Source organism: Homo sapiens, chromosome 2 (genome assembly GCF_000001405.40).
Source record: "Homo sapiens chromosome 2, GRCh38.p14 Primary Assembly".
Classification (NCBI taxonomy): Eukaryota; Metazoa; Chordata; class Mammalia; order Primates; family Hominidae; genus Homo; species Homo sapiens.
This window is the reverse complement of record NC_000002.12, coordinates 92,115,369-92,138,145: the sequence shown is the minus strand read 5'-3', so window position 1 is coordinate 92,138,145 and position 22,777 is coordinate 92,115,369. Positions and strand designations below refer to the sequence as shown.

The 22,777-nt window shown below is 38.4% G+C and overlaps 31 annotated features.

Annotated features, from left to right (window-relative positions):
- Positions 560–1,297: an enhancer, noted in NCBI's record as "OCT4-NANOG-H3K27ac-H3K4me1 hESC enhancer chr2:92324875-92325612 (GRCh37/hg19 assembly coordinates)". NCBI's record gives its function as "activates a minimal SCP1, AML or CMV promoter by ChIP-STARR-seq in naive and primed H9 embryonic stem cells {active_cell/tissue: H9 hESC(naive and primed)}" and the evidence as "EXISTENCE:reporter gene assay evidence [ECO:0000049][PMID:30033119]".
- Positions 1,298–2,035: an enhancer, noted in NCBI's record as "OCT4-NANOG-H3K27ac-H3K4me1 hESC enhancer chr2:92324137-92324874 (GRCh37/hg19 assembly coordinates)". NCBI's record gives its function as "activates a minimal SCP1, AML or CMV promoter by ChIP-STARR-seq in naive and primed H9 embryonic stem cells {active_cell/tissue: H9 hESC(naive and primed)}" and the evidence as "EXISTENCE:reporter gene assay evidence [ECO:0000049][PMID:30033119]".
- Positions 2,036–2,774: an enhancer, noted in NCBI's record as "OCT4-NANOG-H3K27ac-H3K4me1 hESC enhancer chr2:92323398-92324136 (GRCh37/hg19 assembly coordinates)". NCBI's record gives its function as "activates a minimal SCP1, AML or CMV promoter by ChIP-STARR-seq in primed H9 embryonic stem cells {active_cell/tissue: H9 hESC(primed)}" and the evidence as "EXISTENCE:reporter gene assay evidence [ECO:0000049][PMID:30033119]".
- Positions 2,775–3,511: an enhancer, noted in NCBI's record as "OCT4-NANOG-H3K27ac-H3K4me1 hESC enhancer chr2:92322661-92323397 (GRCh37/hg19 assembly coordinates)". NCBI's record gives its function as "activates a minimal SCP1, AML or CMV promoter by ChIP-STARR-seq in primed H9 embryonic stem cells {active_cell/tissue: H9 hESC(primed)}" and the evidence as "EXISTENCE:reporter gene assay evidence [ECO:0000049][PMID:30033119]".
- Positions 3,512–4,250: an enhancer, noted in NCBI's record as "OCT4-NANOG-H3K27ac-H3K4me1 hESC enhancer chr2:92321922-92322660 (GRCh37/hg19 assembly coordinates)". NCBI's record gives its function as "activates a minimal SCP1, AML or CMV promoter by ChIP-STARR-seq in primed H9 embryonic stem cells {active_cell/tissue: H9 hESC(primed)}" and the evidence as "EXISTENCE:reporter gene assay evidence [ECO:0000049][PMID:30033119]".
- Positions 4,251–4,988: an enhancer, noted in NCBI's record as "OCT4-NANOG-H3K27ac-H3K4me1 hESC enhancer chr2:92321184-92321921 (GRCh37/hg19 assembly coordinates)". NCBI's record gives its function as "activates a minimal SCP1, AML or CMV promoter by ChIP-STARR-seq in naive and primed H9 embryonic stem cells {active_cell/tissue: H9 hESC(naive and primed)}" and the evidence as "EXISTENCE:reporter gene assay evidence [ECO:0000049][PMID:30033119]".
- Positions 4,989–5,727: an enhancer, noted in NCBI's record as "OCT4-NANOG-H3K27ac-H3K4me1 hESC enhancer chr2:92320445-92321183 (GRCh37/hg19 assembly coordinates)". NCBI's record gives its function as "activates a minimal SCP1, AML or CMV promoter by ChIP-STARR-seq in naive and primed H9 embryonic stem cells {active_cell/tissue: H9 hESC(naive and primed)}" and the evidence as "EXISTENCE:reporter gene assay evidence [ECO:0000049][PMID:30033119]".
- Positions 5,728–6,465: an enhancer, noted in NCBI's record as "OCT4-NANOG-H3K27ac-H3K4me1 hESC enhancer chr2:92319707-92320444 (GRCh37/hg19 assembly coordinates)". NCBI's record gives its function as "activates a minimal SCP1, AML or CMV promoter by ChIP-STARR-seq in naive and primed H9 embryonic stem cells {active_cell/tissue: H9 hESC(naive and primed)}" and the evidence as "EXISTENCE:reporter gene assay evidence [ECO:0000049][PMID:30033119]".
- Positions 6,466–7,203: an enhancer, noted in NCBI's record as "OCT4-NANOG-H3K27ac-H3K4me1 hESC enhancer chr2:92318969-92319706 (GRCh37/hg19 assembly coordinates)". NCBI's record gives its function as "activates a minimal SCP1, AML or CMV promoter by ChIP-STARR-seq in naive and primed H9 embryonic stem cells {active_cell/tissue: H9 hESC(naive and primed)}" and the evidence as "EXISTENCE:reporter gene assay evidence [ECO:0000049][PMID:30033119]".
- Positions 7,204–7,941: an enhancer, noted in NCBI's record as "OCT4-NANOG-H3K27ac-H3K4me1 hESC enhancer chr2:92318231-92318968 (GRCh37/hg19 assembly coordinates)". NCBI's record gives its function as "activates a minimal SCP1, AML or CMV promoter by ChIP-STARR-seq in naive and primed H9 embryonic stem cells {active_cell/tissue: H9 hESC(naive and primed)}" and the evidence as "EXISTENCE:reporter gene assay evidence [ECO:0000049][PMID:30033119]".
- Positions 7,942–8,680: an enhancer, noted in NCBI's record as "OCT4-NANOG-H3K27ac-H3K4me1 hESC enhancer chr2:92317492-92318230 (GRCh37/hg19 assembly coordinates)". NCBI's record gives its function as "activates a minimal SCP1, AML or CMV promoter by ChIP-STARR-seq in naive and primed H9 embryonic stem cells {active_cell/tissue: H9 hESC(naive and primed)}" and the evidence as "EXISTENCE:reporter gene assay evidence [ECO:0000049][PMID:30033119]".
- Positions 8,681–9,418: an enhancer, noted in NCBI's record as "OCT4-NANOG-H3K27ac-H3K4me1 hESC enhancer chr2:92316754-92317491 (GRCh37/hg19 assembly coordinates)". NCBI's record gives its function as "activates a minimal SCP1, AML or CMV promoter by ChIP-STARR-seq in naive and primed H9 embryonic stem cells {active_cell/tissue: H9 hESC(naive and primed)}" and the evidence as "EXISTENCE:reporter gene assay evidence [ECO:0000049][PMID:30033119]".
- Positions 9,419–10,157: an enhancer, noted in NCBI's record as "OCT4-NANOG-H3K27ac-H3K4me1 hESC enhancer chr2:92316015-92316753 (GRCh37/hg19 assembly coordinates)". NCBI's record gives its function as "activates a minimal SCP1, AML or CMV promoter by ChIP-STARR-seq in naive and primed H9 embryonic stem cells {active_cell/tissue: H9 hESC(naive and primed)}" and the evidence as "EXISTENCE:reporter gene assay evidence [ECO:0000049][PMID:30033119]".
- Positions 10,158–10,895: an enhancer, noted in NCBI's record as "OCT4-NANOG-H3K27ac-H3K4me1 hESC enhancer chr2:92315277-92316014 (GRCh37/hg19 assembly coordinates)". NCBI's record gives its function as "activates a minimal SCP1, AML or CMV promoter by ChIP-STARR-seq in naive and primed H9 embryonic stem cells {active_cell/tissue: H9 hESC(naive and primed)}" and the evidence as "EXISTENCE:reporter gene assay evidence [ECO:0000049][PMID:30033119]".
- Positions 10,896–11,634: an enhancer, noted in NCBI's record as "OCT4-NANOG-H3K27ac-H3K4me1 hESC enhancer chr2:92314538-92315276 (GRCh37/hg19 assembly coordinates)". NCBI's record gives its function as "activates a minimal SCP1, AML or CMV promoter by ChIP-STARR-seq in naive and primed H9 embryonic stem cells {active_cell/tissue: H9 hESC(naive and primed)}" and the evidence as "EXISTENCE:reporter gene assay evidence [ECO:0000049][PMID:30033119]".
- Positions 11,727–12,312: an enhancer, noted in NCBI's record as "OCT4-NANOG-H3K27ac-H3K4me1 hESC enhancer chr2:92313860-92314445 (GRCh37/hg19 assembly coordinates)". NCBI's record gives its function as "activates a minimal SCP1, AML or CMV promoter by ChIP-STARR-seq in naive and primed H9 embryonic stem cells {active_cell/tissue: H9 hESC(naive and primed)}" and the evidence as "EXISTENCE:reporter gene assay evidence [ECO:0000049][PMID:30033119]".
- Positions 12,313–12,899: an enhancer, noted in NCBI's record as "OCT4-NANOG-H3K27ac-H3K4me1 hESC enhancer chr2:92313273-92313859 (GRCh37/hg19 assembly coordinates)". NCBI's record gives its function as "activates a minimal SCP1, AML or CMV promoter by ChIP-STARR-seq in naive and primed H9 embryonic stem cells {active_cell/tissue: H9 hESC(naive and primed)}" and the evidence as "EXISTENCE:reporter gene assay evidence [ECO:0000049][PMID:30033119]".
- Positions 12,900–13,485: an enhancer, noted in NCBI's record as "OCT4-NANOG-H3K27ac-H3K4me1 hESC enhancer chr2:92312687-92313272 (GRCh37/hg19 assembly coordinates)". NCBI's record gives its function as "activates a minimal SCP1, AML or CMV promoter by ChIP-STARR-seq in naive and primed H9 embryonic stem cells {active_cell/tissue: H9 hESC(naive and primed)}" and the evidence as "EXISTENCE:reporter gene assay evidence [ECO:0000049][PMID:30033119]".
- Positions 13,486–14,073: an enhancer, noted in NCBI's record as "OCT4-NANOG-H3K27ac-H3K4me1 hESC enhancer chr2:92312099-92312686 (GRCh37/hg19 assembly coordinates)". NCBI's record gives its function as "activates a minimal SCP1, AML or CMV promoter by ChIP-STARR-seq in naive and primed H9 embryonic stem cells {active_cell/tissue: H9 hESC(naive and primed)}" and the evidence as "EXISTENCE:reporter gene assay evidence [ECO:0000049][PMID:30033119]".
- Positions 14,074–14,659: an enhancer, noted in NCBI's record as "OCT4-NANOG-H3K27ac-H3K4me1 hESC enhancer chr2:92311513-92312098 (GRCh37/hg19 assembly coordinates)". NCBI's record gives its function as "activates a minimal SCP1, AML or CMV promoter by ChIP-STARR-seq in naive and primed H9 embryonic stem cells {active_cell/tissue: H9 hESC(naive and primed)}" and the evidence as "EXISTENCE:reporter gene assay evidence [ECO:0000049][PMID:30033119]".
- Positions 14,660–15,247: an enhancer, noted in NCBI's record as "OCT4-NANOG-H3K27ac-H3K4me1 hESC enhancer chr2:92310925-92311512 (GRCh37/hg19 assembly coordinates)". NCBI's record gives its function as "activates a minimal SCP1, AML or CMV promoter by ChIP-STARR-seq in naive and primed H9 embryonic stem cells {active_cell/tissue: H9 hESC(naive and primed)}" and the evidence as "EXISTENCE:reporter gene assay evidence [ECO:0000049][PMID:30033119]".
- Positions 15,248–15,833: an enhancer, noted in NCBI's record as "OCT4-NANOG-H3K27ac-H3K4me1 hESC enhancer chr2:92310339-92310924 (GRCh37/hg19 assembly coordinates)". NCBI's record gives its function as "activates a minimal SCP1, AML or CMV promoter by ChIP-STARR-seq in primed H9 embryonic stem cells {active_cell/tissue: H9 hESC(primed)}" and the evidence as "EXISTENCE:reporter gene assay evidence [ECO:0000049][PMID:30033119]".
- Positions 15,834–16,421: an enhancer, noted in NCBI's record as "OCT4-NANOG-H3K27ac-H3K4me1 hESC enhancer chr2:92309751-92310338 (GRCh37/hg19 assembly coordinates)". NCBI's record gives its function as "activates a minimal SCP1, AML or CMV promoter by ChIP-STARR-seq in primed H9 embryonic stem cells {active_cell/tissue: H9 hESC(primed)}" and the evidence as "EXISTENCE:reporter gene assay evidence [ECO:0000049][PMID:30033119]".
- Positions 16,422–17,007: an enhancer, noted in NCBI's record as "OCT4-NANOG-H3K27ac-H3K4me1 hESC enhancer chr2:92309165-92309750 (GRCh37/hg19 assembly coordinates)". NCBI's record gives its function as "activates a minimal SCP1, AML or CMV promoter by ChIP-STARR-seq in naive and primed H9 embryonic stem cells {active_cell/tissue: H9 hESC(naive and primed)}" and the evidence as "EXISTENCE:reporter gene assay evidence [ECO:0000049][PMID:30033119]".
- Positions 17,008–17,594: an enhancer, noted in NCBI's record as "OCT4-NANOG-H3K27ac-H3K4me1 hESC enhancer chr2:92308578-92309164 (GRCh37/hg19 assembly coordinates)". NCBI's record gives its function as "activates a minimal SCP1, AML or CMV promoter by ChIP-STARR-seq in naive and primed H9 embryonic stem cells {active_cell/tissue: H9 hESC(naive and primed)}" and the evidence as "EXISTENCE:reporter gene assay evidence [ECO:0000049][PMID:30033119]".
- Positions 17,595–18,181: an enhancer, noted in NCBI's record as "OCT4-NANOG-H3K27ac-H3K4me1 hESC enhancer chr2:92307991-92308577 (GRCh37/hg19 assembly coordinates)". NCBI's record gives its function as "activates a minimal SCP1, AML or CMV promoter by ChIP-STARR-seq in naive and primed H9 embryonic stem cells {active_cell/tissue: H9 hESC(naive and primed)}" and the evidence as "EXISTENCE:reporter gene assay evidence [ECO:0000049][PMID:30033119]".
- Positions 18,182–18,768: an enhancer, noted in NCBI's record as "OCT4-NANOG-H3K27ac-H3K4me1 hESC enhancer chr2:92307404-92307990 (GRCh37/hg19 assembly coordinates)". NCBI's record gives its function as "activates a minimal SCP1, AML or CMV promoter by ChIP-STARR-seq in naive and primed H9 embryonic stem cells {active_cell/tissue: H9 hESC(naive and primed)}" and the evidence as "EXISTENCE:reporter gene assay evidence [ECO:0000049][PMID:30033119]".
- Positions 18,769–19,354: an enhancer, noted in NCBI's record as "OCT4-NANOG-H3K27ac-H3K4me1 hESC enhancer chr2:92306818-92307403 (GRCh37/hg19 assembly coordinates)". NCBI's record gives its function as "activates a minimal SCP1, AML or CMV promoter by ChIP-STARR-seq in naive and primed H9 embryonic stem cells {active_cell/tissue: H9 hESC(naive and primed)}" and the evidence as "EXISTENCE:reporter gene assay evidence [ECO:0000049][PMID:30033119]".
- Positions 19,355–19,941: an enhancer, noted in NCBI's record as "OCT4-NANOG-H3K27ac-H3K4me1 hESC enhancer chr2:92306231-92306817 (GRCh37/hg19 assembly coordinates)". NCBI's record gives its function as "activates a minimal SCP1, AML or CMV promoter by ChIP-STARR-seq in naive and primed H9 embryonic stem cells {active_cell/tissue: H9 hESC(naive and primed)}" and the evidence as "EXISTENCE:reporter gene assay evidence [ECO:0000049][PMID:30033119]".
- Positions 19,942–20,528: an enhancer, noted in NCBI's record as "OCT4-NANOG-H3K27ac-H3K4me1 hESC enhancer chr2:92305644-92306230 (GRCh37/hg19 assembly coordinates)". NCBI's record gives its function as "activates a minimal SCP1, AML or CMV promoter by ChIP-STARR-seq in naive and primed H9 embryonic stem cells {active_cell/tissue: H9 hESC(naive and primed)}" and the evidence as "EXISTENCE:reporter gene assay evidence [ECO:0000049][PMID:30033119]".
- Positions 20,529–21,116: an enhancer, noted in NCBI's record as "OCT4-NANOG-H3K27ac-H3K4me1 hESC enhancer chr2:92305056-92305643 (GRCh37/hg19 assembly coordinates)". NCBI's record gives its function as "activates a minimal SCP1, AML or CMV promoter by ChIP-STARR-seq in naive H9 embryonic stem cells {active_cell/tissue: H9 hESC(naive)}" and the evidence as "EXISTENCE:reporter gene assay evidence [ECO:0000049][PMID:30033119]".

Below are 22,777 nucleotides of genomic sequence, written 5' to 3'. Positions count from 1 at the left end.
AAGCTTCTGAGAATGCTTCTGTCTAGAGTTTATATGAAGACAATCCCGTTTCCAACGAAATCCTCAAAGCTATCCAAATATCCTCTTGCAAATTTTACAAAAAGAGTGTTTCAAAACTGCTCTATCAAAAGAAAGCTTCAACACTGTTAGTTGAGGGCGCACATCACAAATAAGATTCTGAGAATGCTTCTGTCCAGTTTTCAGGGGAAGATATTTCCTTTTTCACCATAGGCCTGAAAGCGCTCCAAATGTCCACATCCAGATACTATAAAAAGAGTGTTTCAAACCTGCTCTATGAAAGGGAATGTTCAACTCTGTGACTTGAATGCAAACATCACAAAGAAGATTCTGGGAATGCTGCTGTCTGCTTTTTATATGTAATCCCGTTTCCAACGAAATACTCAAAGCTAGACAAATATCCACTTGCAGATTCCACAAAAAGAGTGTTTCAAAACTGCTCTATCAAAAGAAAGCTTCAACACTGTTAGTTGAGGGCGAACATCACAAATAAGTTTCTGAGAATGCTTCTGTCTAGTTTTCAGGGCAAGATATTTCCTTTTTCACCATAGGCCTGAAAGCGCTCCAAATGTCCACATCCAGATACTACAAAAAGAGTGTTTCAAACCTGCTCTATGAAAGGGAATGTTCAACTCTGTGACTTGAATGCAAACATCACAAAGAAGTTTCTGGGAATGCTGCTGTCTGCTTTTTATATGTAATCCCGTTTCCAACGAAATCCTGAAAGCTAGACAAATATCCACTTGCAGATTCCATAAAAAGAGTGTTTCTAAACTGCTCTCTGAAAAGAAAGGTTCAACTCTGTTAGCTGAGTAGATACATCATGAAAAAGTTTCTGACATTGCTTCTATGTAGCTTTTATTGGAAGATATTTCCTTTTTCACCGTAGTCCTGAGAGCGCTCCAAATGTCCACTTCCAGATACTACAAAAAGAGTGTTTCAAACCTGCTCTATGAAAGGGACTGTTCAACACTGTGACTTCAATTGAAACATCCCAATGAAGCTTCTGAGAATGCTTCTGTCTAGAGTTTATATGAAGACAATCCCGTTTCCAACGAAATCCTCAAAGCTATCCAAATATCCTCTTGCAGATTTTACAAAAAGAGTGTTTCAAAACTGCTCTTTCAAAAGAAAGCTTCAACACTGTTAGTTGAGGGCGCACATCACAAATAAGATTCTGAGAATGCTTCTGTCTAGTTTTCAGGGGAAGATATTTCCTTTTTCACCATAGGCCTGAAAGCGCTCCAAATGTCCACATCCAGATACTACAAAAAGAGTGTTTCAAACCTGCTCTATGAAAGGGAATGTTCAACACTGTGACTTGAATGCAAACATCACAAAGAAGATTCTGGGAATGCTGCTGTCTGCTTTTTATATGTAATCCCATTTCCAACGAAATCCTCAAAGCTAGACAAATATCCACTTGCAGATTCCACAAAAAGAGTGTTTCAAAACTACTCTATCAAAAGAAAGCTTCTACACTGTTAGTTGAGGGCGCACATCACAAATAAGTTTCTGAGAATGCTTCTGTCTAGTTTTCAGGGGAAGATATTTCCTTTTTCACCATAGGCCTGAAAGCGCTCCAAATGTCCACATCCAGATACTACAAAAAGAGTGTTTCAAACCTGCTCTATGAAAGGGAATGTTCAACTCTGTGACTTGAATGCAAACATCACAAAGAAGTTTCTGGAAATGCTGCTGTCTGCTTTTTATATGTAATCCCGTTTCCAACGAAATCCTCAAAGCTAGACAAATATCCACTTGCAGATTCCACAAAAAGAGTGTTTCAAAACTGCTCTCTCAAAAGAAAGGTTCAACTCTGTTAGCTGAGTAAATACATCATGAAAAAGTTTCTGACATTGCTTCTATCTACCTTTTATTGGAAGATATTTCCTTTATCACCGTATTAATGAGATCTCTCCAAATGTCCACTTCCAGAAACTACAAAAAGAGTGTTTCAAACCTGCTCTATGAAAGGGACTGTTCAACACTGTGACTTCAATTGAAACATCCCAATGAAGCTTCTGAGAATGCTTCTGTCTAGAGTTTATATGAAGACAATCCCGTTTCCAACGAAATCCTCAAAGCTATCCAAATATCCTCTTGCAAATTTTACAAAAAGAGTGTTTCAAAACTACTCTATCAAAAGAAAGCTTCAACACTGTTAGTTGTGGGCGCACATCACAAATAAGATTGTGAGAATGTTTCTGTCTAGTTTTCAGGGGAAGATATTTCCTTTTTCACCATAGGCCTGAAAGCGCTCCAAATGTCCACATCCAGATACTACAAAAAGAGTGTTTCAAACCTGCTCTATGAAAGGGAATGTTCAACTCTGACACTTGAATGCAAACATCACAAAGAAGTTACTGGGAATGCTGCTGTCTGCTTTTTATATGTAATCCCGTTTCCAACGAAATCCTCAAAGCTAGACAAATATCCACTTGCAGATTCCACAAAAAGAGTGTTTCAAAACTGCTCTCTCAAAAGAAAGGTTCAACGCTGTTAGCTGAGTAGATACATCATGAAAAAGTTTCTGACATTGCTTCTATCTAGCTTTTATTGGAAGATATTTCCTTTATCACCGTATTCCTGAGGTCTCTCAAAATTTCCAATTCCAGATACTACAAAAAGAGTGTTTCAAAAATGCTCTATGAAAGGGACTGTTCAACACTGTGACTTCAATTGAAACATCCCAATGAAGCTTCTGAGAATGCTTCTGTCTAGATTTTATATGAAGACAATCCCCTTTCCAAGGAAATCCTCAAAGCTATCCAAATATCCTCTTGCAGATTTTACAAAAAGAGGGTTTCAAAACTGCTCTATCAAAAGAAAGCTTCAACACTGTTAGTTGAGGGCGCACATCACAAATAAGATTCTGAGAATGCTTCTGTCTAGTTTTCAGGGGAAGATATTTCCTTTTTCACCATAGGCCTGAAAGCGCTCCAAATGTCCACATCCAGATACTATAAAAAGAGTGTTTCAAACCTGCTCTATGAAAGGGAATGTTCAACTCTGTGACTTGAATGCAAACATCACAAAGAAGATTCTGGGAATGCTGCTGTCTGCTTTTTATATGTAATCCCTTTTCCAACGAAATACTCAAAGCTAGACAAATATCCACTTGCAGATTCCACAAAAAGAGTTTTTCAAAACTGCTCTATCAAAAGAAAGCTTCAACACTGTTAGTTGAGGGCGAACATCACAAATAAGTTTCTGAGAATGCTTCTGTCTAGTTTTCAGGGCAAGATATTTCCTTTTTCACCATAGGCCTGAAAGCGCTCCAAATGTCCACATCCAGATACTACAAAAAGAGTGTTTCAAACCTGCTCTATGAAAGGGAATGTTCAACTCTGTGACTTGAATGCAAACATCACAAAGAAGTTTCTGGGAATGCTGCTGTCTGCTTTTTATATGTAATCCCGTTTCCAACGAAATCCTGAAAGCTAGACAAATATCCACTTGCAGATTCCATAAAAAGAGTGTTTCTAAACTGCTCTCTGAAAAGAAAGGTTCAACTCTGTTAGCTGAGTAGATACATCATGAAAAAGTTTCTGACATTGCTTCTATGTAGCTTTTATTGGAAGATATTTCCTTTTTCACCGTAGTCCTGAGAGCGCTCCAAATGTCCACTTCCAGATACTACAAAAAGAGTGTTTCAAACCTGCTCTATGAAAGGGACTGTTCAACACTGTGACTTCAATTGAAACATCCCAATGAAGCTCCTGAGAATGCTTCTTTCTAGAGTTTATATGAAGACAATCCCGTTTCCAACGAAATCCTCAATGCTATCCAAATATCCTCTTGCAGATTTTACAAAAAGAGTGTTTCAAAACTGCTCTATCAAAAGAAAGCTTCAACACGGTAAGTTGAGGGCGCACATCACAAATAAGATTCTGAGAATGCTTCTGTCCAGTTTTCAGGGGAAGATATTTCCTTTTTCACCATAGGCCTGAAAACGCTCCAAATGTCCACATCCAGATACTACAAAAAGAGTTTTTCAAACCTGCTCTATGAAAGGGAATGTTCAACTCTGTGACTTGAATGCAAACATCACAAAGAAGATTCTGGGAATGCTGCTGTCTGCTTTTCATATGTAATCCCGTTTCCAACGAAATCCTCAAACTTAGACAAATATCCACTTGCAGATTCCACAAAAAGAGTGTTTCAAAACTGCTCTATCAAAAGAAAGCTTCTACACTGTTAGTTGAGGGCGCACATCACAAAGAAGTTTCTGAGAATGCTTCTGTCTAGTTTTCAGGGGAAGATATTTCCTTTTTCACCATAGGCCTGAAAGCGCTCCAAATGTCCACATCCAGATACTACAAAAAGAGTGTTTCAAACCTGCTCTATGAAAGGGAATGTTCAACTCTGTGACTTGAATGCAAACATCACAAAGAAGTTCCTGGGAATGCTGCTGTCTGCTTTTTATAAGTAATCCCGTTTCCAACGAAATCCTCAAAGCTAGACAAATATCCACTTGCAGATTCCACAAAAAGAGTGTTTCAAAACTGCTCTCTGAAAAGAAAGGTTCAACTCTGTTAGCTGAGTAGATACATCATGAAAAAGTTTCTGACATTGCTTCTATCTAGCTTTTATTGGAAGATATTTCCTTTTTCACCGTATTCCTGAGAACTCTCAAAATGTCCACTTCCAGATACTACAAAAACAGTGTTTCAAACCTGCTCTATGAAAGGGACTGTTCAACACTGTGACTTCAATTTAAACATCCCAATGAAGCTTCTGAGAATGCTTCTGCCTAGAGTTTATATGAAGACAATCCCGTTTCCAACGAAATCCTCAAATCTATCCAAATATCCTCTTGCAGATTTTACAAAAAGTGTGTTTCAAAACTGCTCTATCAAAAGAAAGCTTCAACACTGTTAGTTGAGGGCGCACATCACAAATAAGATTCTGAGAATGCTTCTGTCTAGTTTTCAGGGGAAGATATTTCCTTTTTCACCATAGGCCTGAAAGCGCTCCAAATGTCCACATCCAGATACTACAAAAAGAATGTTTCAAACCTGTTCTATGAAAGGGAATGTTCAACTCTGTGACTTGAATGCAAACATCACAAAGAAGTTACTGGGAATGCTGCTGTCTGCTTTTTATATGTAATCCCGTTTCCAACGAAATCCTCAAAGCTAGACAAATATCCACTTGCAGATTCCACAAAAAGAGGGTTTCAAAACTGCTCTCTCAAAAGAAAGGTTCAACTCTGTTAGCTGAGTAGATACATCATGAAAAAGTTTCTGACATTGCTTCTATCTACCTTTTATTGGAAGATAATTCCTTTTTCACCGCAGTCCTGAGAGCGCTCCAAATGTCCACTTCCAGATACTACAAAAAGATTGTTTCAAACCTGCTCTATGAAAGGGACTGTTCAACACTGTGACTTCAATTGAAACATCCCAATGAAGCTTCTGAGAATGCTTCTGTCTAGAGTTTATATGAAGACAATCCCGTTTCCAACGAAATCCTCAAATCTATCCAAATATCCTCTTGCAGATTTTACAAAAAGAGTGTTTCAAAACTGCTCTATCAAAAGAAAGCTTCAACACTGTTAGTTGAGGGCGCACATCACAAATAAGATTCTGAGAATGCTTCTGTCTAGTTTTCAGGGGAAGATATTTCCTTTTTCACCATAGGCCTGAAAGCGCTCCAAATGTCCACATCCAGATACTACAAAAAGAGTGTTTCAAACCTGCTCTATGAAAGGGAATGTTCAACACTGTGACTTCAATTGAAACATCCCAATGAAGCTTCTGAGAATGCTTCTGTCTAGAGTTTATATGAAGACAATCCCGTTTCCAATGAAATCCTCAAAGCTATCCAAATATCCTCTTGCAGATTTTACAAAAAGAGTGTTTCAAAACTGCTCTATCAAAAGAAAGCTTCAACACTGTTAGTTGAGGGCGAACATCACAAATAAGATTCTCAGAATGCTTCTGTCTAGTTTTCAGGGGAAGATATTTCCTTTTTCACCATAGGCCTGAAAGCGCTCCAAATGTCCTCATCCAGATACTACAAAAAGAGTGTTTCAAACCTGCTCTATGAAAGGGAATGTTCAACTCTGTGACTTGAATGCAAACATCACAAGGAAGTTACTGGGAATGCTGCTGTCTGCTTTTTATATGTAATCCAGTTTCCAACGAAATCCTCAAAGCTAGACAAATATCCACTTGCAGATTCCACAAAAAGAGTGTTTCAAAACTGCTCTCTCAAAAGAAAGGTTCAACTCTGTTAGCTGAGTAGATACATCATGAAAAAGTTTCTGACATTGCTTCTATGTAGCTTTTATTGGAAGATATTTCCTTTTTCACCGTAGTCCTGAGAGCGCTCCAAATGTCCACTTCCAGATACAACAAAAAGAGTGTTTCAAACCTGCTCTATGAAAGGGACTGTTAAACACTGTGACTTCAATTGAAACATCCCAATGAAGCTTCTGAGAATGCTTCTGTCTAGAGTTTATATGAAGACAATCCCGTTTCCAATGAAATCCTCAAAGCTATCCAAATATCTTCTTGCAGATTTTACAAAAAGAGTGTTTCAAAACTGGTCTATCAAAAGAAAGCTTCAACACTGTTAGTTGAGGGCGCACATCACAAATAAGATTCTCAGAATGCTTCTGTCTAGTTTTCAGGGGAAGATATTTCCTTTTTCACCATAGGCCTGAAAGCGCTCCAAATGTCCACATCCAGATACTACAAAAAGAGTGTTTCAAACCTGCTCTATGAAAGGGAATGTTCAACTCTGTGACTTGAATGCAAACATCACAAGGAAGTTACTGGGAATGCTGCTGTCTGCTTTTTATATGTAATCCCGTTTCCAACGAAATCCTCAAAGCTAGACAAATATCCACTTGCAGATTCCACAAAAAGAGTGTTTCAAAACTGCTCTCTCAAAAGAAATGTTCAACTCTGTTAGCTGAGTAGATACATCATGAAAAAGTTTCTGACATTGCTTCTATCTAGCTTTTATTGGAAGATATTTCCTTTTTCACCGTAGTCCAGAGATCTCTCCAAATGTCCACTTCCAGATACTACAAAAAGAGTGTTTCAAACCTGCTCTATGAAAGGGACTGTTCAACACTGTGACTTCAATTGAAACATCCCAATGAAGCTTCTGAGAATGCTTCTGTCTAGAGTTTATATGAAGACAATCCCGTTTCCAATGAAATCCTCAAAGCTATCCAAATATCCTCTTGCAGATTTTACAAAAAGAGTGTTTCAAAACTGCTCTATCAAAAGAAAGCTTCAACACTGTTAGTTGAGGGCGCACATCACAAATAAGATTCTGAGAATGCTTCTGTCTAGTTTTCAGGGGAAGATATTTCCTTTTTCACCATAGGCCTGAAAGCGCTCCAAATGTCCACATCCAGATACTACAAAAAGAGTGTTTCAAACCTGGTCTCTGAAAGGGAATGTTCAACTCTGTGACTTGAATGCAAACATCACAAACAAGATTCTGGGAATGCTGCTGTCTGCTTTTTATATGTAATCCCGTTTCCAACGAAATCCTCAAAGCTAGACAAATATCCACTTGCAGATTCCACAAAAAGAGAGTTTCAAAACTGCTCTATCAAAAGAAAGCTTCAACACTGTTAGTTGAGGGCGCACATCAAAAATAAGTTTCTGAGAATGCTTCTGTCTAGTTTTCAGGGGAAGATATTTCCTTTTTCACCTCAGGCCTGAAAGCGCTCCAAATGTCCACATCCAGATACTACAAAAAGAGTGTTTCAAACCTGCTCTATGAAAGGGAATGTTCAACTCTGTGACTTCAATTGAAACATCCCAATGAAGCTTCTGAGAATGCTTCTGTCTAGAGTTTATATGAAGACAATCCCGTTTCCAACGAAATCCTCAAAGCTATCCAAATATCCTCTTGCAGATTTTACAAAAAGAGGGTTTCAAAACTGCTCTATCAAAAGAAAGGTTCAACACTGTTAGTTGAGGGCGCACATCACAAATAAGTTTCTGAGAATGCTTCTGTTTAGTTTTCAGGGGAAGATATTTCCTTTTTCACCATAGGCCTGAAAGCGCTCCAAATGTCCACATCCAGATACTACAAAAAGAGTGTTTCAAACCTGCTCTATGAAAGGGAATGTTCAACTCTGTGACTTGAATGCAAACATCACAAAGAAGTTTGTGGGAATGCTGCTGTCTGCTTTTTATATGTAATCCCGTTTCCAACGAAATCCTCAAAGCTAGACAAATATCCACTTGCAGATTCCAAAAAAAGAGGGTTTCAAAACTGCTCTCTCAAAAGAAAGGTTCAACTCTGTTAGCTGAGTAGATACATCATGAAAAAGTTTCTGACATTGCTTCTATCTAGCTTTTATTGGAAGATATTTCCTTTTTCACCGCAGTCCTGAGAGCGCTCGAAATGTCCACTTCCATATACTACAAAAAGAGTGTTTCAAACCTGCTCTATGAAAGGGACTGTTCAACACTGTGACTTCAATTGAAACATCCCAATGAAGCTTCTGAGAATGCTTCTGTCTAGAGTTTATATGAAGGCAATCCCGTTTAAAACGAAATCCTCAAAGCTATCCAAATATCCTCTTGCAGATTTTACAAAAAGAGGATTTCAAAACTGCTCTATCAAAAGAAAGCTTCAACACTGTTAGTTGAGGGCGCACATCACAAATAAGATTCTGAGAATGCTTCTGTGTAGTTTTCAGGGGAAGATATTTCCTTTTTCACCATAGGTCTGAAAGCGCTCCAAATGTCCACATCCAGATACTACAAAAAGAGTGTTTCAAACCTGCTCTATGAAAGGGAATGTTCAACTCTGTGACTTGAATGCAAACATCAGAAAGAAGTTTCTGGGAATGCTGCTGTCTGCTTTTTGTATGTAATCACGTTTCCAACGAAATCCTCAAAGCTAGACAAATATCCAGTTGCAGATTCCACAAAAAGAGTGTTTCAAAACTGCTCTCTCAAAAGAAAGGTTCAACTCTGTTAGCTGAGTAGATACATCATGAAAAAGTTTCTGACATTGCTTCTATCTAGCTTGTATTGGAAGATATTTCCTTTTTCACCGTAGTCCTGAGAGCGCTCGAAATGTCCACTTCCAGATACTACAAAAAGAGTGTTTCAAACCTGCTCCATGAAAGGGACTGTTCAACAATGTGACTTCAATTGAAACATCCCAATGAAGCTTCTGAGAATGCTTCTGTCTACAGTTTATATGACGACAATCCCGTTTCCAACGAAATCCTCAAAGCTATCCAAATATCCTCTTGCAGATTTTACCAAAAGAGGGTTTCAAAACTGCTCTATCAAAAGAAAGCTTCAACACTGTTAGTTGAGGGCGCACATCACAAATAAGATTCTGAGAATGGTTCTGTCTAGTTTTCAGGGGAAGATATTTCCTTTTTCACCATAGGCCTGAAAGCGCTCCAAATGTCCACATCCAGATACTACAAAAAGAGTGTTTCAAACCTGCTCTATGAAAGGGAATGTTCAACTCTGTGACTTGAATGCAAACATCACAAAGAAGTTTCTGGGAATGCTGCTGTCTGCTTTTAATATGTAATCACGTTTCCAACGAAATCCTCAAAGCTAGACAAATATCCACTTGCAGATTCCACAAAAAGAGTGTTTCCAAACTGCTCTATCAAAAGAAAGCTTCAACACTGTTAGTTGAGGGCGCACATCACAAATAAGTTTCTGAGAATGCTTCTGTCTAGTTTTCAGGGGAAGATATTTCCTTTTTCACCATAGGCCTGAAAGCGCGCCAAATGTCCACATCCAGATACTACAAAAAGAGTGTTTCAAACCTGCTCTATGAAAGGGAATGTTCAACTCTGTGACTTGAATGCAAACATCACAAAGTAGTTTCTGGGAATGCTGCTGTCTGCTTTTTATATGTAATCCCGTTTCCAACGAAATCCTCAAATCTAGACAAATATCCACTTGCAGATTCCACAAAAAGAGTGTTTCAAAACTGCTCTCTCAAAAGAAAGGTTGAACTCTGTTAGCTGAGTAGATATATCATGAAAAAGTTTCTGACATTGCTTCTATCTAGCTTTTATTGGAAGATATTTCCTTTTTCACCGTAGTCCTGAGAGCGCTCTAAATGTCCACTTCCAGATACTACAAAAAGAGTGTTTCAAACCTGCTCTATGAAAGGGAATGTTCAACTGTGTGACTTGAATGCAAACATCACAAAGAAGTTTCTGGGAATGCTGCTGTCTGCTTTTTATATGTAATCCCGTTTCCAACGAAATCCTCAAATCTAGCTACATATGCACTTGCAGATTCCACAAAAAGAGTGTTTCAAAACTGCTCCTTCAAAACGATTGTTGAATTCTGTTAGTTGAGTACACACATCACAAATAAGTTTCTGAGAATGCTTCTGTCTGGTTTCTATGGGAAGATATTTCCTTTTTCAACACAAGCCTGAATGCGCTCCAAACGGACACATCCAGATATGACAAAGGGCGTGTTTCCAACCTGCTCTATGATACCGAACTTTGAACTCTGTGACTTGAATGCAAACATCACAAAGAAGTTTCTCACAATGCTGCTGTCTGCTTTTTATAAGTATTCCCGGTTCCAACGAAATCCTCAAGGCCAGCCAAATATTCACTTGCAGATACCACAAAATGAGTGTTTCAAAACTGTTCTGTCAAAAGAAATGTTCAACTCTGTTAGTTGAGGACACACCTCAGAAACCGGTTTCAGAGAATGCTTCTGTCTTGTTTTTATGGGAAGATATTTCCTTTTTCAACATAGGCCTGAAAGCGCTCCAAATGTCCACTTCCAGATACTACAAAAAGAGTGTTTCAAACCTGCTCTATGAAAGGGACTGTTCAACACTGCGACTTCAACTGAAACATGCCAATGAAGCTTCTGAGAATGCTACTGTCTAGAGTTTATATGAAGACAATCCCGTTTCCAACGAAATCCTCAAAGCTAGACAAATATCCACATGCAGATTCCACAAAAGGAGTGTTTCAAAACTGCTCTTTCAAACCGATGGTTCAATTCTGTTAGTTGAGTACACACATCACAAATAAGTTTCTGAGAGTGCTTCTATCTAGTTTTTATGGGAGGATATTTCCTTTTTCAACACAAGCCGGAATGCGCTCCAAACGGACAACTTCTAGATATGACAAAAGGCGTGTTTCAAACCTGCTCTATGAAAGGGAATGTTCAAATCCGGGACTTCAATGCAAACATCACAAAGAAGTTTCTGAGAATGCTGCTGTCTGCTTTTTATATGGATTCCCGTTTCCAACGAAATCCTCCAAGCTGGCTTAATATCCACTTGCATATTCCACAAAAAGACTGTTTTAAAACTGCTCTCTCAAAAGAAAGGTTGAACTCTGTTAGCTGAGTAGATATATCATGAAAAAGTTTCTGACATTGCTTCTATCTAGCTTTTATTGGAAGATATTTCCTTTTTCACCATAGTTTTGAGAGCGCTCTAAACGTCCACTTCCAGATACTACAAAAAGAGTGTTTCAAACCTGCTCTATGAAAGGGAATGTAGAACTCTGTGACTTGAATGCAAACATCACAAAGAAGTTTCTGGGAATGCTGCTGTAGCTTTTTATATGTTATCCCGTTTCCAACGAAATCCTCAAAGCTAGAGAAATATCCAATTGCAGATTCCACAAAAAGAATGTTTCAAAACTGCTCTCTCAAAAGAAAGGTTAAACTCTGTTAGCTGAGTAGATACATCATGAAAAAGTTTCTGACATTGCTTCTATTTGGCTTTTATTGGAAGATATTTCCTTTTTCACCGAAGTCCTGAGAGCGCTCAAAATGTCCACTTCCAGATACTACAAAAAGAGTGTTTCAAACCTGCACTATGAAAGGGACTGTTCAACACTGTGACTTCAATTGAAACATCCCAATGAAGTTTCTGAGAATGCTTCTGTCTAGTTTTCAGGGGAAGATATTTCCTTTTTCACCATAGGGCTGAAAGCGCTCCAAATGTCCACATCCAGATACTACAAAAAGAGTGTTTCAAACCTGCTCTATGAAAGGGACTGTTCAACACTGTGACTTCAATTGAAACATCCCAATGAAGCTTCTGAGAATGCTACTGTCTAGAGTTTATATGAAGACTATCCCGTTTCCACCGAAATCCTCAAAGCTATCCAAATATCCTCTTGCAGATTTTACAAAAAGAGTGTTTCAAAACTGCTCTATCAAAAGAAAGGTTCAACACTGTTAGTTGAGGGCGCACATCACAAATAAGTTTCTGAGAATGCTTCTGTCTAGTTTTCAGGGGAAGATATTTCCTTTTTCACCATAGGCCTGAAAGCGCTCCAAATGTCCACATCCAGATACTACAAAAAGAGTGTTTCAAACCTGCTCTATGAAAGGGAATGTTCAACTCTGTGACTTGAATGCAAACATCACAAAGAAGATTCTGGGAATGCTGCTGTCTGCTTTTTATATGTAATCCCGTTTCGAACGAAATCCTCAAAGCTAGACAAATATCCACTTCCAGATTCCACAAAAAGAGTGTTTCAAAACTGCTCTCTCAAAAGAAAGGTTCAACTCTGTTGGCTGAGTAGATACATCATGAAAAAGTTTCTGACATTGCTTCTATCTAGCTTTTATTGGAAGATATTTCCTTTTTCACCGTAGTCCTTAGAACGCTCCAAATGTCCACTTCCAGATACTACAAAAAGAGTGTTTCAAACCTGCTCTATGAAAGGGACTGTTCAACACTGTGACTTCAATTGAAACATCCCAATGAAGCTTCCGAGAATGCTTCTGTCTAGAGTTTATATGAAGACAATCCCGTTTCCAACGAAATCCTCAAAGCTATCCAAATATCCTCTTGCAGATTTTACAAAAAGAGTGTTTCAAAACTGCTCTATCAAAAGAAAGGTTCAACACTGTTAGTTGAGGGCGCACATCACAAATAAGTTTCTGAGAATGCTTCTGTCTAGTTTTCAGGGGAAGATATTTCCTTTTTCACCATAGGCCTGAAAGCGCTCCAAATGTCCACATACAGATACTACAAAAAGTGTGTTTCAAACCTGCTCTATGAAAGGGAAGGTTCAACTCTGTGATTTGAATGCAAACATCACAAAGAAGTTTCTGGGAATGCTGCTGTCTGCTTTTTATATGTAATCCCGTTTCCAACGAAATCCTCAAAGCTAGACAAATATCCACTTGCAGATTCCACAAAAAGAGTGTTTCAAAACTGCTCTATCAAAAGAAAGCTTCAACACTGTTAGTTGAGGGCGCACATCACAAATAAGTTTCTGAGAATGCTTTTGTCTAGTTTTCAGGGGAAGATATTTCCTTTTTCACCATAGGCCTGAAAGCGCGCCAAATGTCCACATCCAGATACTACAAAAAGAGTGTTTCAAACCTGCTCTATGAAAGGGAATGTTCAACTCTGTGACTTGAATGCAAACATCACAAAGAAGTTTCTGGGAATGCTGCTGTCTGCTTTTTATATGTAATCCCGTTTCCAACGAAATGCTCAAATCTAGCTACATATGCACTTGCAGATTCCACAAAAAGAGTGTTTCAAAACTGCTCCTTCAAAACGATTGTTGAATTCTGTTAGTTGAGTACACACATCACAAATAAGTTTCTGAGAATGCTTCTGTCTGGTTTCTATGGGAAGATATTTCCTTTTTCAACACAAGCCTGAATGCGCTCCAAACGGACACATCCAGATATGACAAAGGGCGTGTTTCCAACCTGCTCTATGATACCGAACTTTGAACTCTGTGACTTGAATGCAAACATCACAAAGAAGTTTCTCACAATGCTGCTGTCTGCTTTTTATAAGTATTCCCGGTTCCAACGAAATCCTCAAGGCCAGCCAAATATTCACTTGCAGATACCACAAAATGAGTGTTTCAAAACTGTTCTGTCAAAAGAAATGTTCAACTCTGTTAGTTGAGGACACACCTCAGAAACCGGTTTCAGAGAATGCTTCTGTCTTGTTTTTATGGAAAGATATTTCCTTTTTCAACATAGGCCTGAAAGCGCTCCAAATGTCCACTTCCAGATACTACAAAAAGAGTGTTTCAAACCTGCTCTATGAAAGGGACTGTTCAACACTGCGACTTCAACTGAAACATGCCAATGAAGCTTCTGAGAATGCTACTGTCTAGAGTTTATATGAAGACAATCCCGTTTCCAACGAAATCCTCAAAGCTAGACAAATATCCACATGCAGATTCCACAAAAGGAGTGTTTCAAAACTGCTCTTTCAAACCGATGGTTCAATTCTGTTAGTTGAGTACACACATCACAAATAAGTTTCTGAGAGTGCTTCTATCTAGTTTTTATGGGAGGATATTTCCTTTTTCAACACAAGCCGGAATGCGCTCCAAACGGACAACTTCTAGATATGACAAAAGGCGTGTTTCAAACCTGCTCTATGAAAGGGAATGTTCAAATCCGGGACTTCAATGCAAACATCACAAAGAAGTTTCTGAGAATGCTGCTGTCTGCTTTTTATATGGATTCCCGTTTCCAACGAAATCCTCCAAGCTGGCTTAATATCCACTTGCATATTCCACAAAAAGACTGTTTTAAAACTGCTCTCTCAAAAGAAAGGTTGAACTCTGTTAGCTGAGTAGATATATCATGAAAAAGTTTCTGACATTGCTTCTATCTAGCTTTTATTGGAAGATATTTCCTTTTTCACCATAGTTTTGAGAGCGCTCTAAATGTCCACTTCCAGATACTACAAAAAGAGTGTTTCAAACCTGCTCTATGAAAGGGAATGTAGAACTCTGTGACTTGAATGCAAACATCACAAAGAAGTTTCTGGGAATGCTGCTGTAGCTTTTTATATGTTATCCCGTTTCCAACGAAATCCTCAAAGCTAGAGAAATATCCAATTGCAGATTCCACAAAAAGAATGTTTCAAAACTGCTCTCTCAAAAGAAAGGTTAAACTCTGTTAGCTGAGTAGATACATCATGAAAAAGTTTCTGACATTGCTTCTATTTGGCTTTTATTGGAAGATATTTCCTTTTTCACCGAAGTCCTGAGAGCGCTCAAAATGTCCACTTCCAGATACTACAAAAAGAGTGTTTCAAACCTGCACTATGAAAGGGACTGTTCAACACTGTGACTTCAATTGAAACATCCCAATGAAGTTTCTGAGAATGCTTCTGTCTAGTTTTCAGGGGAAGATATTTCCTTTTTCACCATAGGGCTGAAAGCGCTCCAAATGTCCACATCCAGATACTACAAAAAGAGTGTTTCAAACCTGCTCTATGAAAGGGACTGTTCAACACTGTGACTTCAATTGAAACATCCCAATGAAGCTTCTGAGAATGCTACTGTCTAGAGTTTATATGAAGACTATCCCGTTTCCACCGAAATCCTCAAAGCTATCCAAATATCCTCTTGCAGATTTTACAAAAAGAGTGTTTCAAAACTGCTCTATCAAAAGAAAGGTTCAACACTGTTAGTTGAGGGCGCACATCACAAATAAGTTTCTGAGAATGCTTCTGTCTAGTTTTCAGGGGAAGATATTTCCTTTTTCACCATAGGCCTGAAAGCGCTCCAAATGTCCACATCCAGATACTACAAAAAGAGTGTTTCAAACCTGCTCTATGAAAGGGAATGTTCAACTCTGTGACTTGAATGCAAACATCACAAAGAAGATTCTGGGAATGCTGCTGTCTGCTTTTTATATGTAATCCCGTTTCGAACGAAATCCTCAAAGCTAGACAAATATCCACTTCCAGATTCCACAAAAAGAGTGTTTCAAAACTGCTCTCTCAAAAGAAAGGTTCAACTCTGTTGGCTGAGTAGATACATCATGAAAAAGTTTCTGACATTGCTTCTATCTAGCTTTTATTGGAAGATATTTCCTTTTTCACCGTAGTCCTTAGAACGCTCCAAATGTCCACTTCCAGATACTACAAAAAGAGTGTTTCAAACCTGCTCTATGAAAGGGACTGTTCAACACTGTGACTTCAATTGAAACATCCCAATGAAGCTTCCGAGAATGCTTCTGTCTAGAGTTTATATGAAGACAATCCCGTTTCCAACGAAATCCTCAAAGCTATCCAAATATCCTCTTGCAGATTTTACAAAAAGAGTGTTTCAAAACTGCTCTATCAAAAGAAAGGTTCAACACTGTTAGTTGAGGGCGCACATCACAAATAAGTTTCTGAGAATGCTTCTGTCTAGTTTTCAGGGGAAGATATTTCCTTTTTCACCATAGGCCTGAAAGCGCTCCAAATGTCCACATACAGATACTACAAAAAGTGTGTTTCAAACCTGCTCTATGAAAGGGAAGGTTCAACTCTGTGATTTGAATGCAAACATCACAAAGAAGTTTCTGGGAATGCTGCTGTCTGCTTTTTATATGTAATCCCGTTTGCAACGAAATCCTCAAAGCTAGACAAATATCCACTTGCAGATTCCACAAAAAGAGTGTTTCAAAACTGCTCTCTCAAAAGAAAGGTTCAACTCTGTTAGTTGAGTACACACATCACAAATAAGTTTCTGAGAATGCTTCTATCTAGTTTTTATGGGAGGATATTTCCTTTTTCAACACAAGCCGGAATGCGCTCCAAATGGACAACTTCCAGATATGACAAAAGGCGTGTTTCAAACCTGCTCTATGAAAGGGAATGTTCAAATCTGGGACTTCAATGCAAACATCACAAAGAAGTTTCTGAGAATGCTGCTGTCTGCTTTTTATATGCATTCCCGTTTCCAAGGAAATCCTCAAAGCTGGCTTAATATCAACTTGCATATTCCACAAAGAGACTGTTTTAAAACTGCTCTCTCAAAAGAAAGATTGATCTCTGTTAGCTGAGTAGATATATCATGAAAAAGTTTCTGACATTGCTTCTATGTAGCTTTTATTGGAAGATATTTCCTTTTTCACCGTAGTCCTGAGAGCGCTCTCAATGTCCACTTCCAGATACTACAAAAAGAGTGTTTCAAACCTGCTCTATGAAAGGGAATATTCAAATCTGTGACTTGAATGCAAACATCACAGAGAAGTTTCTGAGAATGCTGCTCTCTGCTTTTATATGTAATCCCGTTTCCAACGAAATCCTCAAAGCTAGACAAATATCCACTTGCAGATTCCACAAAAAGAGTGTTTCAAAACTGCTCTCTCAAAAGAAAGGTTCAACTCTGTTAGCTGAGTAGATACATCATGACAAATTTTCTGACATTGCTTCTATCTAGCTTTTATTGGAAGATATTTCCTTTTTCACCGTAGTCCTGACAGCGCTCCAAATGTCCACTTCCAGATACTACAAGAAGAGTGTCTCAAACCTGCTCTATGAAAGGGACTGTTCAACACTGTGACTTCAATTGAAACATCCCAATGAAGTTACTGAGAATGCTTCTGTCTAGAGTTTATATGAAGACAATCCCGTTTCCAACGAAATCCTCAAAGCTATCCAAATATCCTCTTGCAGATTTTACACAAAGAGTGCTTCAAAACTGCCCTATCAAAAGAAAGGTTCAACACTGTTAGTTGAGGGCGCACATCACAAATAAGTTTCTGAGAATGCTTCTGTCTAGTTTTCAGGGGAAGATATTTCCTTTTTCACCATAGGCCTGAAAGCGCTCCAAATGTCCACGTCCAGATACTACAAAAAGAGTGTTTCAAACCTGCTCTATGAAAGGGACTGTTCAACACTGTGACTTCAATTGAAACATCCCAATGAAGTTTCTGAGAATGCTTCTGTCTAGAGTTTATATGAAGACAATCCCGTTTCCAACGAAATCCTCAAAGCTATCCAAATATATTTTTGCAGATTTTACAAAAAGAGTGTTTCAAAACTGCTCTATCAACAGAAAGTTTCAACACTGTTAGTTGAGGGCGCACATCACAAATAAGTTTCTGATTATGCTTCTGTCTAGTTTTCAGGGGAAGATATTTCCTTTTTCACCATAGGCCTGAAAGCGCTCCAAATGTCCACATCCAGATACTACAAAAAGAGTGTTTCAAACCTGCTCTGTGAAAAGGAATGTTCAACTCTGTGACTTGAATGCAAACATCAAAAAACAGTTTCTGTGAATGCTGGGGTCTGCTTTTTATATGTAATCCCGTTTCCAACGAAATCCTCAAAGCTAGACAAATATCCACTTGCATATTCCACAAAAAGAGTGTTTCAAAACTGCTCTCTCAAAAGAAAGGTTCAACTCTGTTAGCTGAGTAGATACATCATGAAAAAGTTTCTGACATTGCTTCTATCTAGCTTTTATTGGAGAATATTTCCTTTTTCACCGTAGTCCTGAGAGCGCTCTAAATGTCCACTTCCAGATACTACGAAAAGTGTGTTTCAAACCTGCTCTATGAAAGGGACTGTTCAACACTGTGACTTCAATTGAAACATCCCAATGAAGTTTCTGAGAATGCTTCTGTCTAGAGTTTATATGAAGACAATCCCGTTTCCAACGAAATCCTCAAAGCTATCCAAATATCCTCTTGCAGATTTTAGAAAAAGAGTGTTTAAAAACTGCTCTATGAAAAGAAAGGTTCAACACTGTTAGTTGAGGGCGCACATCACAAATAAGTTTCTGAGAATGCTTCTGTCTAGTTTTCAGGGGAAGATATTTCCTTTTGCACCATAGGCCTGAAAGCCCTCCAAATGTCCACATCCAGATAGTACAAAAAGAGTGTTTCAAACCTGCTCTATGAAAGGGAATGTTCAACTCTGTGACTTGAATGCAAACGTCACAAAGAAGTTTCTGGGAATGCTGCTGTCTGCTTTTTATATGTAATCCCGTTTCCAACGAAATCCTCAAAGCTAGACAAATATCCACTTGCAGATTCCACAAAAAGAGTGTTTCAAAACTGCTCTCTCAAAAGAAAGGTTCAACTCTGTTAGCTGAGTAGATACATCATGAAAAAGTTTCTGACATTGCTTCTATCTAGCTTTTATTGGAAGATATTTCCTTTTTCACTGTAGTCCTGAGAGCGCTCCAAATGTCCACTTCCAGATACTACAAAAAGAGTGTTTCAAACCTGCTCTATGACAGGGAATGTTCAACACTGTGACTTCAATTGAAACATCCGAAAGAAATTTCTGAGAATGCTTCTGTCTAGAGTTTATATGAAGACAATCCCGTTTCCAACGAAATCCTCAAAGCTATCCAAATATCCTCTTGCAGATTTTACAAAAAGAGTGTTTCAAAACTGCTCTACCAAAAGAAAGGTTCAACACTGTTAGTTGACTACACACATCACAAATAAGTTTCTGAGAATGCTTCTGTCTAGTTTTCAGGGGAAGATATTTCCTTTTTCACCATAGGACTGAAAGCGCTCCAAATGTCCACATCCAGATATTACAAAAAGAGTGTTTCAAACCTGCTCTGTGAAAGGGAATGTTCAACTCTGTGACTTGAATGCAAACATCACAAAGAAGTTTCTGGGAATGCTGCTGTCTGCTTTTTATATGTAATCCCGTTTCCAACGAAATCCTCAAAGCTAGACAAATATCCACTTGCATATTCCACAAAAAGAGTGTTTCAAAGCTGCTCTCTCAAAAGAAAGGTTCATCTCTGTTAGCTGAGCAGATACATCATGAAAAAGTTTCTGACATTGCTTCTATCTAGCTTTTATTGGAAGATATTTCCTTTTTCACTGTAGTCCTGAGAGCGCTCCAAATGTCTACTTCCAGATACTACAAGAAGAGTGTTTCAAACCTGCTCTATCAAAGGGAATGTTCAACACTGTGACGTCAATTGAAACATCCCAAAGAAATTTCTAAGAATGCTTCTGTCTAGAGTTTATATGAAGACAATCCCGTTTCCAACGAAATCCTCAAAGCTATCCAAATATCCTCTTGCAGATTTAACAAAATTGTGTTTCAAAACTGCTCTATGAAAAGAAAGGTTCAACACTGTTAGTTGAGGGCACACATCACAATTAAGTTTCTGAGAGTGCTTCTGTCTAGCTTTCAGGGGAAGATATTTCCTTTTTCACCATAGGCCTGAAAGCACTCCAAATGTCCACATCCAGATTCTACAAAAAGAGTTTTTCAATCCTGCTCTATGAAAGGGAATGTTCAACTCTGTGACTTGAATGCAAACATCACAAAGGAGTTTCTGAGAATGCTGCTGTCTGCTTTTTATATGTAATCCCGTTTCCAACGAAATCGTCAAATCTAGCTAAATATGCACTTGCAGATTCCACAAAAAGAGTGTTTCAAAACTGCTCCTTCAAAACGATTGTTGAATTCTGTTATTTGAGTACACACATCACAAATAAGTTTCTGAGAATGCTTCTGTCTGGTTTCTATTGGAAGGTATTTCCTTTTTCAACACAAGGTTGAATGCGCTTCAAATGGACACTTCCAGATATGACAAAAGGCATGTTTCCAACCTGCTCTATGATACGGAACGTTCAACTCTGTGACTTGAATGCAAACATCACAAAGAAGTTTCTCACAACGCTGCTGTCTGCTTTTTATATGTATTCCCGTTTCCAACGAAATCCTCAAAGCCAGCAAAGTATCCACTTGCAGATTCCACAAAAAGAGTGTTTCAAAACTGTTCTGTCAAAAGAAATGTTCAACTCTGTTAGTTGAGGACACATCTCAGAAACTAGGTTCAGAGAATGCTTCTGTCTAGTTTTTATGGGAAGATATTTCCTTTTTCAATATAGCCCTGAAAGCGCTACAAATGTCCACGTCCAGATACTACAAAAAGAGTGTTTCAAACCTGCTCCATGAAAGGGACTGTTCAACACTGCGACTTCAATAGAAACATCCCAATGAAGTTTCTGAGAATGCTTCTGTCTAGAGTTTATATGAAGAGAATCCCGTTTCCAACGAAATCCTCAAAGCTATCCAAATATCTTCTTGCAGATTTTACAAAAAGAGTGTTTCAAAACTGCTCTATCAAAAGAAAGGTTCAACACTGTTAGTTGAGGGCGCACATCACAAATAAGTTTCTGAGAATGCTTCTGTCTAGTTTTTGAGGCAAGATATTTCCTATTTCACCTTACGCCTCAAAGCGATCAAAACGTCCACTTCCAGATACTACAAAAAGAGTGCTTCAAACCTGCTCTATTAAAGGGAGTGATCAACTCTGTGACTCGAACGCTAACATCCCAAGGAGGTTTCTGAGAATGCTTGTGTCTCGATTTCATATGAAAATTTTCCCGTTTCCAACGAAATCCTCAAAGCTGTCCAAATATCCACATGCAAATTCCACAAAAAGAGTGTATATAACTGCTCTATCAAAAGAAGGGTTCAACTCTGGTAGTTGAGCACACACATCACAAACTAGTTCATGAGAATACTTCTGTCTAGTTTTTATGCGAAGATACACCTTTTTCACCACAGGCCTCAAAGCGATCCACATGTCCACTTCCAGATTCCACAGAAAGAGTGTTTCAAACCTGCTCTATGAAAAGGAACGTTCAAATATGTGACTTGAATGCTGACACCCCAAAGACGGTTCTGAAAATGCTTCTGTCTAGATTTTATGTGAAGATATTCCAGTTTCGAACGAAATCCTCAAAGCTGTCAAAATATCCCCTTGCAGAATATACAAAAAGAGTGTTTCAAGAGTGCTCTCTCAAAAGATAGGTTCAACCCTGTTAGTTGAGTACACACATCACAAACCGGTTTCTGAGAATGCTTCTGCGTAGTTTATATGGGAAGATATTTCCTTTTTCACAATAGGTCACAAAGCACCCCAAATGTCCAGTTCCATATACTACAAAATCTTGTGTTCACACCTGCTTTATGAAAGAGAATGTTCAACACTGGCACTTGAATGCCATCCTCACAGAGATTTTTCTGAGAATGCTTCTGTCTAGGTTTTGTATGGACATATTCCCGTTTCCAACGAAATCCTCTAAGCTATCCAAATATCCACTTGCAGACTGTAAAAAAAGAGTGTTTCAAAACTGCTCTATCAAAAGAAAGATTCAACTCTGTTAGTTGAGTACACACATTCCAAACAAGTTTTGGAGACTGCTTCCGACTAGTTGTTATCCGAAGATATTTCCCATTTCACCATAGCCCTCAAAGCGATCTAAATGTCCATCTCCAGATACTACAAAAAGCGTGTTTCAAAGCTGCTCTATGAAAGGGAATGTACAATTCTCTGACTTCAATGCAAACATCAAAAAGGTGTTTCCGCGAAGGCTTCTGTCTAGATTTTATATGAAGATATTCCCTTTTCCAAGGAAATCCTAAAAGCTATCCAAATATCCACCTGCAGATTCTCCAAAAAGAGTGTTTAAAAACTGCTCTGTCAAAAGAAAGGTTCAACTCTGTTAGTTGAGCACACACATCAGAAACTAGTTCGTGAGAATACTTCTGTCCAGTTTTTATGTGAAGATATACCATTTTCACCGCAGGCCTCAAAGCGATCCAAATGTCCACTTCCAGATTCCACAAAAAGAGGGCTTCAAACCTGCTCTATGAAAAGGAACGTTCAACTCTGTGACTTGAATGCTAACACCCCAAAGACGTTTCTGAGAATGCTTCTGTCTATATTTTATGTGAAGATATTCCCGTTTCCAACGATATCCTCAAAGCTTTCCAAATATCCACATGCAGATTCTATAAAAAGAGTGTTTCAAAACCGCTCTATGAAAAGAAAGGTTCAGCTCTGTTAGTTAAGTACACACATCACAAACTAGTTTATGAGAATGCTTCCGTCTAGTTTTTATTCGAAGATATTCCCTTTTTCACCGTAGGCCTCAATGCGACCCAAAGGTCCCCTTCCAGATTCCACAAAAAGAGTGTTTCAAACCTGCTCCATGAAAGGGAATGTTCAACTCTGTGACTTGAATGCAAACATCCCAAAGATGTTTCTGAG